Source organism: Homo sapiens, chromosome 7 (assembly GCF_000001405.40).
Source record: "Homo sapiens chromosome 7, GRCh38.p14 Primary Assembly".
NCBI classification, from domain to species: Eukaryota; Metazoa; Chordata; class Mammalia; order Primates; family Hominidae; genus Homo; species Homo sapiens.
Window position 1 is genome coordinate 91624469 of NC_000007.14, and position 12857 is coordinate 91637325.

The window sequence follows — 12857 nt, forward strand, 5'->3', positions numbered from 1 at the left end:
ATATCTCACCAGCTGAACATTTGGCATCCTGTTAATAAATCATCAGCTAATTTTTATATGATGTATTAGTTTCCTGTGGCTTCTGTAACAAATCATCACAAACTTGGAAGCTTAAAACAACAGAAATGTATTCCCTCACAGTTCTAAAGGCCAGAAGTCTGAAATCAGTATCTCTGGGCCAAAATCAAGGTGCTACACTCCCTTAGCATGCTCTAAGGGAGAATCCACTCCTTGTCTCTTCCAATTTCTGATGGCTCTGGGCATTCCTTGGTTTCGGTCTGCATCACTGTCACTCTACTCTCTGTCTCCCTGCTCATATTGTCTTCTCTTCTGCTGAAATCTCCCTCTGCTTCCCTCTTCTAAGGATTCCTGTGAATGCATTTAGGCCCCACCCAGATAATCCAGAAAAATCTCCCCATCTCAAGATCTACAGAATCCTTCTTTGCCATCGTAAGGTAACATTCATAGGTTCTGGGGACTAGGATGTGAATATCTTTTGGAAGCTACTATCAACCAAATGTATTTGTCCCTCAAAATTCATATCAACAGATGAATGAACAAACAAAATGTAGTATATATACACAACAGTATTATTCAGCCTTGAATAGAAAATTTGAACACAGGCCGGGCTTGGTGGCTCACGCCTGTAATCTCAGCGCTTTGGGAGGCCGAGGCGGGCGGATCTCCAGGTCAGGAGATCCAGACCATCCTGGCTAACACGGTGAAACCCCGTCTCTACTAAAAATACAAAAAAATTAGCCGGGCGTGGTAGCAGGCGCCTGTAGTCCTAGCTACTCGGGAGGCTGAGGCAGGAGAATGGCGTGAACCCGGAAGGCGGAGCTTGCAGTGAGCTGAGATCGGGCCACTGCACTCCAGCCTGGGCGACAGAACAAGACTCCGTCTCAAAAAAAAAAAAGAAAATTCCAACACAGGCTACAACATAGATGACTCTTACAGACATTATGCTAACTGAAATAAGCTAGTAACAAAAGGACAAATAGTGTATAATTCCACCTCTATGAGGCACCTAGAGTAGTCAAATTTATAGATACAGAAATTGAGTGGTGGTTGCCAAAGGCTGGGGGAAGGGTTGAAACGGGGATTTAGTGTTTGATGAGCACAGAGTTTCGGTTTAGGAAGATGAAAAAGTTCTGGGAATGGATAGTGGTGATGGTTACAGAACAATATGAATGTACTTAATGCCACTGAAATGTACACTTAAATTTGTTTACGTGGTAAATTGTATTATGAATATTTTACCATAGTTTTAAAAAAAGTACTGAGTTGAATTTCCACATAACCTGTGACTATTGGGTTTGGAGCAAAAGTAATTGCGTTTTTTCCCATCACTTTCAATGGCAAAAACTGCAATTACTTTTGAACCAACCGGATAGCTTATTCTAACATTACATTACCATCTTACATAACCGTTGTGCAACTATCAAAACTAGAAAAGAACATTAGTACAACATTGTTAACCAGACTACAGACTTTATTTAGGTCTCATCAATAGTTCCACTAATGTCTTTTTTTTCCCCCCATTCTAGGATTTGGCACTTAAAACATTTTTGTAATAAAAAAATGTAAATCCTTTATAAAAGAATTTGCTATATGGTTTCTTTAAAGTGTAACCCCTATTATTATATTTAAAATATCTTCAAACTTACCAAAAAAAGTTCAGGAACTTCTCTGTTGTATAAAAAAAAGATGCTTTATACAACAGAATTGCGGTTTATAACAGAATACAGATTATTGGCTCAGGGGACCATATTAGTTCAAATTAGATTCTAACTAGAATTAAAAGCCAAAAGAAAACTTAAACAATATAGTTGTTTATTCCTCCCTCAGATGGGATTCAAGAGGCGAGCAGTCCAGAGGTTGGTTATATGGAAGCTCCATGGTGTCAAAATGTAAAGCTTCTTCTATCTTGTTCTGTATGCACAGCTTCCATTCCCAAGAACATGGTCCTTGATAGGCCTGGGAGCTCCAGCCATTACATCCACACTCCAGGCAGCAGGGTGTAAGAAAGCAGAGAAGAACGGCTTTCCCCTTTCCATAAAGGACAGTATCCTATATGCAAAAGTTGCACTTCCACATACACTCCATTGCCCAGAACCGAGTTGTGTAGCCACATCTAACTGTAAGGGAGGCTGGGGAGTATAATACATATTCTAGGTTGGCATGAGCCCTGGGGAAAAAAATCAGAAGGAAGCTGAATTACTAAAGAAGGCAGATGTAAAAAATAGATATTGGAGGTCAAGTAGTAGTGTGTCCAGAATTGGTGGGTTTTTGGGTCTCACTGACTTCAAGAATGAAGCCGCGGACCCTCACGGTGAGGGTTACAGCTCCTAAGGTGGCGCGTCTGGAGTTCGTTCCTTCTGATGTTCAGATGTGTTCGGAGTTTCTTCCTTCTGGTGGGTTCGTGGTCTCGCTGGCTCAGGAGTGAAGCTGCAGACCTTCACGGTGAGTGTTACAGCTCTTAAGGTAGCGCGTCTGGAGTTGTTCGTTCCTCCCGGTGGGCTCGTGGTCTCGCTGGCTTCAGGAGTGAAGCTGCAGATCTTCACAGTGAGTGTTACAGCTCATAAAAGCAGTGTGGACCCAAAGACTGAGCAGAAGCAAGATTTATTGCAAAGAGCGAAGGAACAAAGCTTCCACAGTGCGGAAGGGGACCCCAGTGGGTTGCCACTGCTGGTTCAGGCAGCCTGCTTTTATTCTCTTATCTGGCCCCACCCACATCCTGCTGATTGGTAGAGCCCAGTGGTCTGTTTTGACAGGGCCCTGATTGGTGCGTTTACAATCCCTGAGCTAGATACAAAGGTTCTCCACGTCCCCACCAGACTCAGGAGCCCAGCTGGCTTCACCTAGTGGATCCCGCACCAGAGCTGCAGGTGGAGCTGCCTGCCAGTCCTGGTGCCGTGCGCCTGCACTCCTCAGCCCTTGGGTGGTCGATGGGACTGGGCGCCGTGGAGCAGGGGGTGGCGGTCGTCGGGAACCTCCGGCCGCACAGGAGCCCATGGAGCGGGTGGGAGGCTCAGGCTTGGCGGGCTGCAGGTCCCCAGCCCTGCCCCGCGGGAAGGCAGCTAAGGCCCGGTGAGAAATCGAGCACAGCGCCGGTGGGCTGGCACTGCTGGGGGAACCAGTACACCCTCCGCAGCCGCTGGCCCGGGTGCTAAGCCCCTCATTGCCCAGGGCCTGCAGGGCTGGCCGGCTGCTCCGAGTGCGGGGCCCGCCAAGCCCACGCCCACCCGGAACTCCAGCTGGCCCGCAAGCGCCGTGCGCAGCCCCGGTTCCCGCTGGCGCCTCTCCCTCCACACCTCCCTGCAAGCTGAGGGAGCCGGCTCTGGCCTTGGCCAGCCCAGAAAGGGGCTCCCACAGTGCAGCGGTGGGCTGAAGGGCTCCTCAAGTGCCGCCAAAGTGGGAGCCCAGGCAGAGGAGGTGCCGAGAGCGAGCGACAGCTGTGAGGACTGCCAGCACACTGTCACCTCTCAGTAGTCTCTGCAACAAGAGGCATCCTTGATTCTGGACTCACACAAAAACCAGTCTGGAGAAAACAAGGAACAAAAAAATTTTCTCTGCCTTGATCATCAGCAAACATAAATTTTTATTACAGAGACGTTAAAGCAAAATATTATACTGTCCTTAATCCAGTGTATAGGCGCCTCGCTGGTGCCCACAGGAACTGCTGAATTAGAGCCAGTGAGTCTCTATCTTTAGATAATACAGCAGTCAATTTAAAATACATATATTGAGACAACTACAATGTTACTGAGGACATACTCAGAGCTAAGCTGGGTACTCTGAGGAATAGAACAAGAAGTCATTTTTTAATAAAAGGAAACACAGACTCTATGCTCTCTGGAGACTTACAGTTCTATTAAGGAGTTGAGATTTTCAAATGAATGACAAATGATAAATTTACAAAGGTAAACTCAGGGTTGGATTTGCCCAAGTCCCTTCCAATATCCATCACCTTCAAAAATCAGGATGCAGTTTTTGTGACTATTTAATAGCAATCCAATAGGTTGAAACCTATTGATAAGTTCAAATGCCTTACCCGATCAATCTTTAATAATTTTCATTCCCCTCTTGGCTTCTCTCATTAGGGAGAAAGTCCAGCTTGCACCCAGTTTTTGGTTCTTTATTTCAGAAATCTTCCCCCACCCACCCATATCCAACCTGACCTCACCATCTTGGCCCCCCTCACCACACAGGTCTCTTGAGAAATGAAAAATAGTCCCTCTTCACACACAAAACAAGCTGGTGCAGGTCTGGTTTCAATAAATCAGATTTTCTAAAATAATTTGAGCTCTTCAAGAAAACAAAATGCAAACGGACCGTAAATGTGTTTTAACTATTAAAAGAGGTAGGCGGATGTTCATTCTCTTTATCTGAATGAAAAATTTCCCTTCCTGACATTGAGTCATGTTCACTTTTCCCAAGAGGGAATAAAATGTTCCCTGTAAAAGCACAACCTTTTCTTTCCCATTGCTCTGGACGCATGCCAACATAACAGAAACAGCCAAATAAAGGGCTGTGATAAGCTCCTCAGGTACCAGGGGAATGTTATCAGAGGAAATCATCTTCCTCCCTGTGACAAGACGCATGGATCCTCAGCAAACTCACACAAAAAATGGGGCCCCCAAGGAGTAGAAATTCATCAAATACTCAGTGGGGAATTGTGCACAAAACAGCAATGGAAACCAGTGGGAATACAATTTTATTAACTCCAAAAAGTTGTACCAATTGGGTTCTTAGGAACAGTACCCAGATTGATGTTCTGGAGACAAAGGACTTTTAGTGACAAATACGATAAAATGTGTGAGAAAGACTTTGTTTGCTTAAGATTCCAGTATTAAATTTGGGGTCTATAAAATACAGTGTTTATATTATCTGCTGGGCCACAGCAGGGAATCACATATAACAAGGATACAAACTTAATACATACTACAACTTAGATGTGCAAAATTTTATAAATACAACCTCTTTTATTTTGTTTATAACTAAATGGGTCTTTGCCACATGCTGAATGGCAGAAAAGAAAAATAAATACATATCCAATCTGGTTGATATGGTACGAGTCTCTCCAGGAAGGAACGCTCAGTCTCAGATTTTTCAATCTTTCAGTTCTTTGCTTTCACTCAAGATGGTCAAGGATGGGGAAAAGGGCCTTTGCTGGAGTTGCCAGCTAGAGGCATTCTCAGGTAGCTAGGTGTAGTGTATTTTGGTGCCTCTGGTCTCTGGGGCAATGTCTTTTGTCCTCCAACTGGTATGTATGGATACTGTGATTCCAGGTCTGTTTTTTGACTTAAGAACTGCTCCCAGATTTCCAAATGGAAGTTTTCACACTATGACCTAGAAATGAATAGATATACATTCTGTCTTGGGTTTCCTAAGCCAGTCTCCTATAAAACAAAAATTTCATCCCAGGAACTCTTCCATCTAAGGGAACATATATGTTTTGAAAATAATTCATCCATTTCTTTGCTCCCATAAATACCTTTTGCCCAGGATTTATTCAAGAAAAAAGAAAGATTGCTACTTAATGTTTCTATTCCATTGGAGTGAGTGATTTATTCATTGGAGGTCTAAGTGATGATCATAGAAAGAAACATAGAGTACTAGAACTGGAAGGAACTAATCTCTATTTTATAGGACTGAAGAAACCAAGGCCAGGTTAACTGAAATGACTTAACTCAAGGCCACCTATTTAGTTATTGGCAGAGCTAGAATTTGAATCTGAGACCCCTGACTCTTAATTATACTACAAAAGTTTAAAAGGTAATTTTTAATTTATCTAAATTGTTACTGATTTCCCACAAACTAAATTGAAGTCTTTATTTTACTTAGCAGTAATTAAAATGTTAATGTGCATATTGTTATTCCCCTCTTTAGGTAACTAAATTGGGATATGACTGGCCTTTATTAATATTAATTAACTAAAAAGTCTTTAGCATTCATACAAATAGCTGTTTTAAAATCTAAACAGTTCTGAATCAGACTGTGAGAAACAGACACTGGTATTTTCTCCTGAGTCTTGGTATTATGTCTTTGGAATGCTTTATTCCAAGCAAGAGTTTTCAATGATACTAAATAAACTATTTTTACTCTTAGAAATTAGAGGAAAGAGAAAAAAATGCCCAAAGAAAGTATTTGGACCAATTGGTAATTGACTAATTCCAAAGAACATTTACACTTTATTTTATGCTTTCATATCGGTCCAAGAACAGAACTACCTATCTTCAACATTAAAATCCTCTTGAGAAACTCTCCAGCAGAGCTTGTCTCCAAGCCATGTCCATACAATTGGCTCTGTGTATAGTACATTTTTACCACTCACAATAGAAGGTATTGTTCTTTATAGCTAGTGAAATTAATTATTTGAGCACCCCAGGATGTACAACATGAAAGAACAGCTATATAGATTTTCAGGGTAGTATATAATATGCCATGGTGAATTATTGACTCTAATGAGAACATCTTTAAAAGGCTGAACTCTCAAGGGTGCTGGCTGAAGGATTGGGAGGAGGGGCTCATACATCAAATCAATAATTAGGAAGACAGAAGGAAGAGAGACAGATTGGGCAAGAGATTTCTGAAAATTGAACACTTGTCATCTGTGTAGCTCCCTTGCTGATGATTCATTAAATGAAGATTAACTTCAGTAACTTATTGACCAACATGCCAATAATTCCTGACCTCTATTGCTTGCAATGCATGAAATAGGCAGGTCTAGATACATTGCCAAAGGAGTTGACTAAGTGTGAGATGATTTAGAGAAATTCATGAGCATATTTACATAGTATGTTAGTTATGTGGGTTTCTCATTTATATTTACCAGTTGTAACTGAATGTGAACATTTACCATGTTGAATATTGTGTTACATTGATAGGAGATATAAAAGAAGCAAATAGCATTCTTAAAGGAGTTTATAGTTTATCTAGAGATGCTAAATATGCAAATATGTTGTTACACAAGATAATTTACTCATGTTTCCAAAAAGACCACTGTGATTATTTACAACATGGAGTTATGTCCTTTACTTCATCTCTGGCTCTGACTCATGATCACATCTTACCTAAGTAAACTTTCTTAAAAAACAGATTGTTTCGCCTGTAATCCCAGCACTTTGGGAGGCCGAGGCGGGCGGATCACGAGGTCAGGAGATCGAGACCATCCTGGCTAACACGGTGAAACCCCGTCTCTACTAAAAATACAAAAAATTAGCCGGGCGAGGTGGCGGGCGCCTGTAGTCCCAGCTACTCGGGAGGCTGAGGCAGAAGAATGGCGTGAACCCCAGGGGGCGGAGCCTGCAGTGAGCCGAGATTGCGCCACTGCACTCCAGCCTGGGCGACAGCGAGACTCTGTCTCAAAAAAAAAAAAAAAAAAAAAAACAGATTGTTTCAGCTCTTGCCATACATTCTGGCAAAGGACAAAGAGTATAAGTTTCATGAAACATGACTAAAATAAGGAAAAGTGTAATTATGGACTGCAATGAAATTGTCAGAAGTACTCCTGGTCTCCTGGGATCACTTATGTGTATTATATTAAAGGCTCTTCTGACTGCATGAGCCAAATGTGGTAGAATAATGTTTCAGGACACCTCGCAAAGAGATCCATTCATTTAAGGTCCTGGAACATAGGAACTTATAATATTCAGCTCCTAATACTACGAGAGAAATAAACCTATATATGTTTTGCACTACTCAGAAAACTTTTAAGGATAACTAGCATTTTCAAATCTTAGGGAAATAAGGAAGAAGATGTTATGAAGTCCTTCATTCTGCAGTTTTTACAGCAGTGCTGTGAGGGTTGGGGATGGGTCTCCAAATGTTCAGGACTTGCTGGTTTCCCTCCCACTGCAACCTCCCTTTCATCTGCCCATGAAGGAGCTTGGTTCAGCTCTACCCAGCCTACCCACAGCTCTCACTAAGGACAGGAAGCATATAAAGAATCCACTCCCATTAACACTTCCTCAGACGAGATTAGCATCAGTATCAAGGTCTGTGTTGCTCCTAGGCCTGTGTTGCTTCTATCCATTGCCAAGGCTTCTAGAACCTGAGTTGTGCTTCCTTTGACCCACTTTCTAGTACCTTCATGACTGGGTCTTCTAGCCCAATCACTGAATCCCTGTTGTCCAGACTCTTGGTCTCTCACTGCTAATGTCCACCTTGACAACCCATTCACTTATTCTGAGCTTAAGTTGCTATTGCAGATGAAGCCCAAATACACATTCACATACACACACAGATGCATACACACACACACACACACACACACCCCACGGTTTTCTCATTCTGGAATTTTATGAGAGAACAATGGTAACTGTGGCAACCCTTGTTATTTCCCTGTGAAGTTTTTTGAGAGATCGATGTTTTGTATTGTTTTTTCATCTAAGAAAACACTGGCCTCAAAAGGCAAAAGTCACCAGCAAGAGAAATGTTCCTAGAAGGCCCTAACATACTCTTTTTTATGACAGTTAGCAAAATATCTTCTGTCACTTCTGGGGCTCTTATTCCCCCTCTGTGCAGCATTCATAGTGTTCAAGTATATTAAGCATTCGCATCATTTGTATGTGGCCCGGCCTCTGTTCTAATCCTATGTATTAGTACAGCTAACTGCAGCTCACTCGGTGCTGCTGTTTGCACAGCTGGACATGTCGGATAGAATGAGTTCATCCCTTCAAAGATGAGCTTAAAGCCGCCATCTAGTAGTGTCTTTCTTTTTAACACCTACCACCAGTCCTCATTGTTCTCACAAGCACAGTGAGTTTTAATGAAGTCATGTCTTTTAGTGTAACGCTGCAGGTGCACAAATGCTGATAAACCTCCTTAACTCGCTGTCAGATCAGCATGTTTATCTGCAAGCTGCAGAATGTATTTAGTTATGAGATATGAAAAGGTCCTTCAGATTTGTTCTCTAGGCCCAAAAGCTAATGACTCACTGGTGAAGCGCTGTATCTCCCCAAAGGTTATAATGACTAGTTGCTGATGGTCTGAAGAAATTCATGGTAGCATCTGGACTGCAAAGTATAGAAATTTCTTTTAAAAACATAAAAAGAGAAATAGTTTCTAAGGGCCCAGGAAATTTTACCAAATACGGAGTAAACAAAATTAAATGTGTGTGTGTGCACACTTGTGTGTTTTTGTGTGTGTGTGTGTGGAGACACAGAGAGAGGGAGAGAGAAATGCCAACATGGTAACATGTAGCCAGCTTTCAGAACATTGCTAAAGGAATTCACTCTTAAAATCTTAATATGCAAATACCCTGAGGATGTTATTAGCATCTTAGTGTAAATTAAATTTAATCACATTGCTTTCTTCACAAGACTAAATGTCTGAGGGAATCAGAGTTTGACCTGGAAATTAGAAGGGAAATGCATGAGGAGAAAATGGGTGGTCAAAGAGGAAAGAGCAGGATTTTCAAGTGCAGAATCCTCCCCAGTAAGACAGGGCTGAGAAGGAAGGTCCTTTTAAAGAGAGAATACCAAGCACTCAGAGAGCTCCAGGCTCCTAAGGAGGAGGAAAGAGGAAAACTAAGGATGTGGGAGAAAGGCTTAAGCTCTAAGTATCAACCCACAGGGCAAGAACAGGGAGAACTCAGGGGAGAGGAGACCCAGTTCTCAAGATAAGCAGGTTTGGTGGAAAGTGCCTTTAATTGATTGACAAATCACTTAACCTCTAAGTATGTTGTCATCTGATACTGGTGCCTACCTGCCTATCTCACCTCATAGCTATTAGTGCAATGTAAGATCATGTCTTATGAGCAACTTACTGGAAAGCGTATTAAAACATAAAGCAAAAACAAAAACAAATATATATAAACCCCCATCGTAATGTGAATTACCATAATGATAACTTCTATTAAGCAGTTAGTAGTTATTGAACACTGACCACTTGCATTGTATACAGTAAACACAATTAAATCCCTTCACTTAAGTTTCTCTGAGTTCAGTGGAGAAGACAGGTGAGTAAATAAATAACCAAAACACAGGATGCCAAATACATACTTAGCATAAAGTACCACAGGGGTAAGGAAGAAGAGAGACCTCCTCTGTCTGGGGAAATGAAGAAAGGCTTCTCCGAGGCAGAGATGGTTGAGCTGAGTCCTGCTTGCTGAGTTTGCCAGAGGAGGCAATGGCAAGTCAGGAAGAGTAGCAGAGGCAGAGGCAGCCAGCATGTGCTGCCAGTCTATGCTGCTCGGCACTGCTTGGCCCAAAGAATAAAAAGCAAGGGAATGCCAAATCTCATCCCTAACTCCCCTGGCCTGATTCCATGCTCACCAAGCCACCTTCTGATGATAATTTGGCTTCCCACTTACATTTGCCTGCAGGGAAAGCACATGCTGGACAAGAAACTGGAGTACCCAGTCCACTCAATGATTACATTTCTCATTGTAAATTAATAAATCAGCATTCTGGCTGATGCCATTTTTAAAGTTCAGACATGAAACTATCACTTATAAGGCAGATGCAAAGGAAATTAGGTGAAAATTCACCAGGAAATCAGCCTTCAGGCTGCCAAGGAGTACAATGACAGAACAGCTGTGCAAACACCACAGGTAACATCCGGAAATGGGCTCCTGACAAAGTCATATTACACAGCATGGCTCTCCCCACATGAAGTGCTCCCTCTCACATTTTTCTCCATTGTTAAATTCCCCTCAAATAGCCCAGCAAAAAGTCAGCATCAAATGTCAGTCATCCCAGACTCCTGGAAACCCAGGTCTGGAGAGAAGGAAATATCTATTTTACTGAATCCTTTACCCTTCCTGTTATGGACTGAATTGTGTCCCCCCAAATTTGTGTGTGGAAGCCCTAATCTCCACTACCTCAGAATGTGACTGTATTTGGAGACAGTGTCTTTAAAAATGTAATTAATATATCAAAGAGAGATCTGCACTTCCATGTTTATTGCAGCACTATTCGCAATAGCCAAGGTTGGAAGCAACCTAAGTGTCCATCAACAGATGAGTGGATAAAGAAAATGTGGTACGTATATACAAAGGAATACTATTCATCCATAAAAACATGAGATCCTGTCATTAGCAACAACGTGGATGGAACTGGAGATCATTATGTTAAGTGAAATAAGCCAGGCACAGAAAGACAAACTTCACATGTTCTCACTTATTTATTGGAGCAAAAATCAAAACAATTGAACTCATGGGGATAGAGAGTAGAAGGATGGTTACCACAGGCTGGGAAGGGTAGTCGGGGAGGAAAGTGGAGACGGTTAATGGGCACAAAAAAATGGTTAATAGTTAAAATAAATGAGGTCTAGTATTTGATAGCACAACAGAGTGACTACAGTCAACAATAATTTATGGTACATTTAAAAATAACTAAAAGAGTATAATTGTGTCATTTGCAACACAAAGAAAGGATGGATGCTTGAGGTGATGGATACGCCATTTTCCCTGATGTGATTATTACACATTGCATGAGATACCAAAATATCTCACATACCCCCAAAATATGTACACCTACTATGTACCCACAATTAAAATTAAAAAAAATTAAAGCCTGTAAGGTAAACATAGTACTCAATAAATATTTGTCGAATAATAAATATTGAACCTAAAAAAACAACAAAAACAAAGAGAACAACATAATTAAGATTACAAGAGGTCATTAGTGTGGGCCTTAGTTGAACATAACTGGTGTCCCCGTGAGAACAGATGGATTAGGACACAGACACACACAGAGGAAAGAAATGTGAGGGCACATTGAAAAGATGGCCATCTACCAGCCAAAGAGAGAGGCCTCAGACGAAATCAACCTTGCCGACACCTTGATCTCAGACTTCTAGCCTCCAGGTCTGTGAGGAAATAAATTGCTGTTGTTTAAGCGCCCCCAGTCTGTGGTACTTTGTTATGGCAGCCCTAGCAAATAAATACACTTCCATTGAGATTCTTTCCTCCAACCATTCCAAACAGAAGATGTCTACCTGGGACCTTTAACAACATGGAAAACTGTCTACCACTGTCATCAAGAATGCATTTTAGTCTATCATGCTTATCTCCACTCCAGTTACTCAGGTGGGTGGCTTTGGAGCCCTATATGTGATAAACGTTGTCTAATCTTGCTAAAGTAACCACAGCCATGGTGTCTGAGGCATAAGCGCTTGAAAGTATAATGCTTTTACAACCTGCACAAAGTCTTTGACACAGACAAGATGAAGGACTCATATAATGAAAGCACAAAAACTTATGATTATCCTAATGTTGTCTTGATATTTTACAAAATTTCTGTAAAAATCAATACCCTGTTGGATAGGTGAGCCAAGGAGAGTCAGACCACTGTCCAGCTAATTCCTGAAGATATAAACCATGGAACAATAACAATTCATTTGAAAAACTCCTAAACCTCTCTTATTTAACAACTTATTTCTGAATGGGTGGAGTCTCTCTGTTACAGACTTACAGTTTCAAGATTTGCTTGCACACATGGGTGAGTTTTTTTTGCAAGCTGTCTCAATGAAAACCGGTTTGAGAAACTGGAAGCCTTTCAGTTTGCAACCGGAACTGGAGTCAAATAAGTTTTACCACTGCTTCACTTGCTTTTTGTTTGTTTGTTTTGTTTTGACCATTTATTATTTTGTGAGAAGCAACACTAACTGAAATATACCACATTTGAGGAGTAAAATTTCTTCTTTTTTTTTTTTTTTTTTTGAGATGGAGTCTCGCTGTTTCGCCCAGGCAGGAGTGCAGTGGCGCTATCTCGGCTCACTGCAAGCTCCGCCTCCTGGGTTCACGCCATTCTCCTGCCTCAGCCTCCCAAGTAGCTGGGACTACAGGTACCCGCCACCGCGCCCAGCTAATTTTTTGTATTTTTAGTAGAGACGGGGTTTCACCGTGT

At 41.7% G+C, this 12857-nt stretch overlaps 1 long non-coding RNA gene across 1 annotated transcript; it reads right to left on the reverse strand.

The window, feature by feature from the left end:
- Positions 1-1474: 1474 nt before the first annotated feature.
- LOC124901697 (uncharacterized) lies at positions 1475-10896 on the reverse strand. The gene is made up of 2 exons (XR_007060430.1): positions 8092-10896; positions 1475-5352 (listed from the first exon to the last, which is right to left on the reverse strand). It is a non-coding gene; the product is annotated as an uncharacterized LOC124901697 (long non-coding RNA).
- Positions 10897-12857: the final 1961 nt, after the last annotated feature.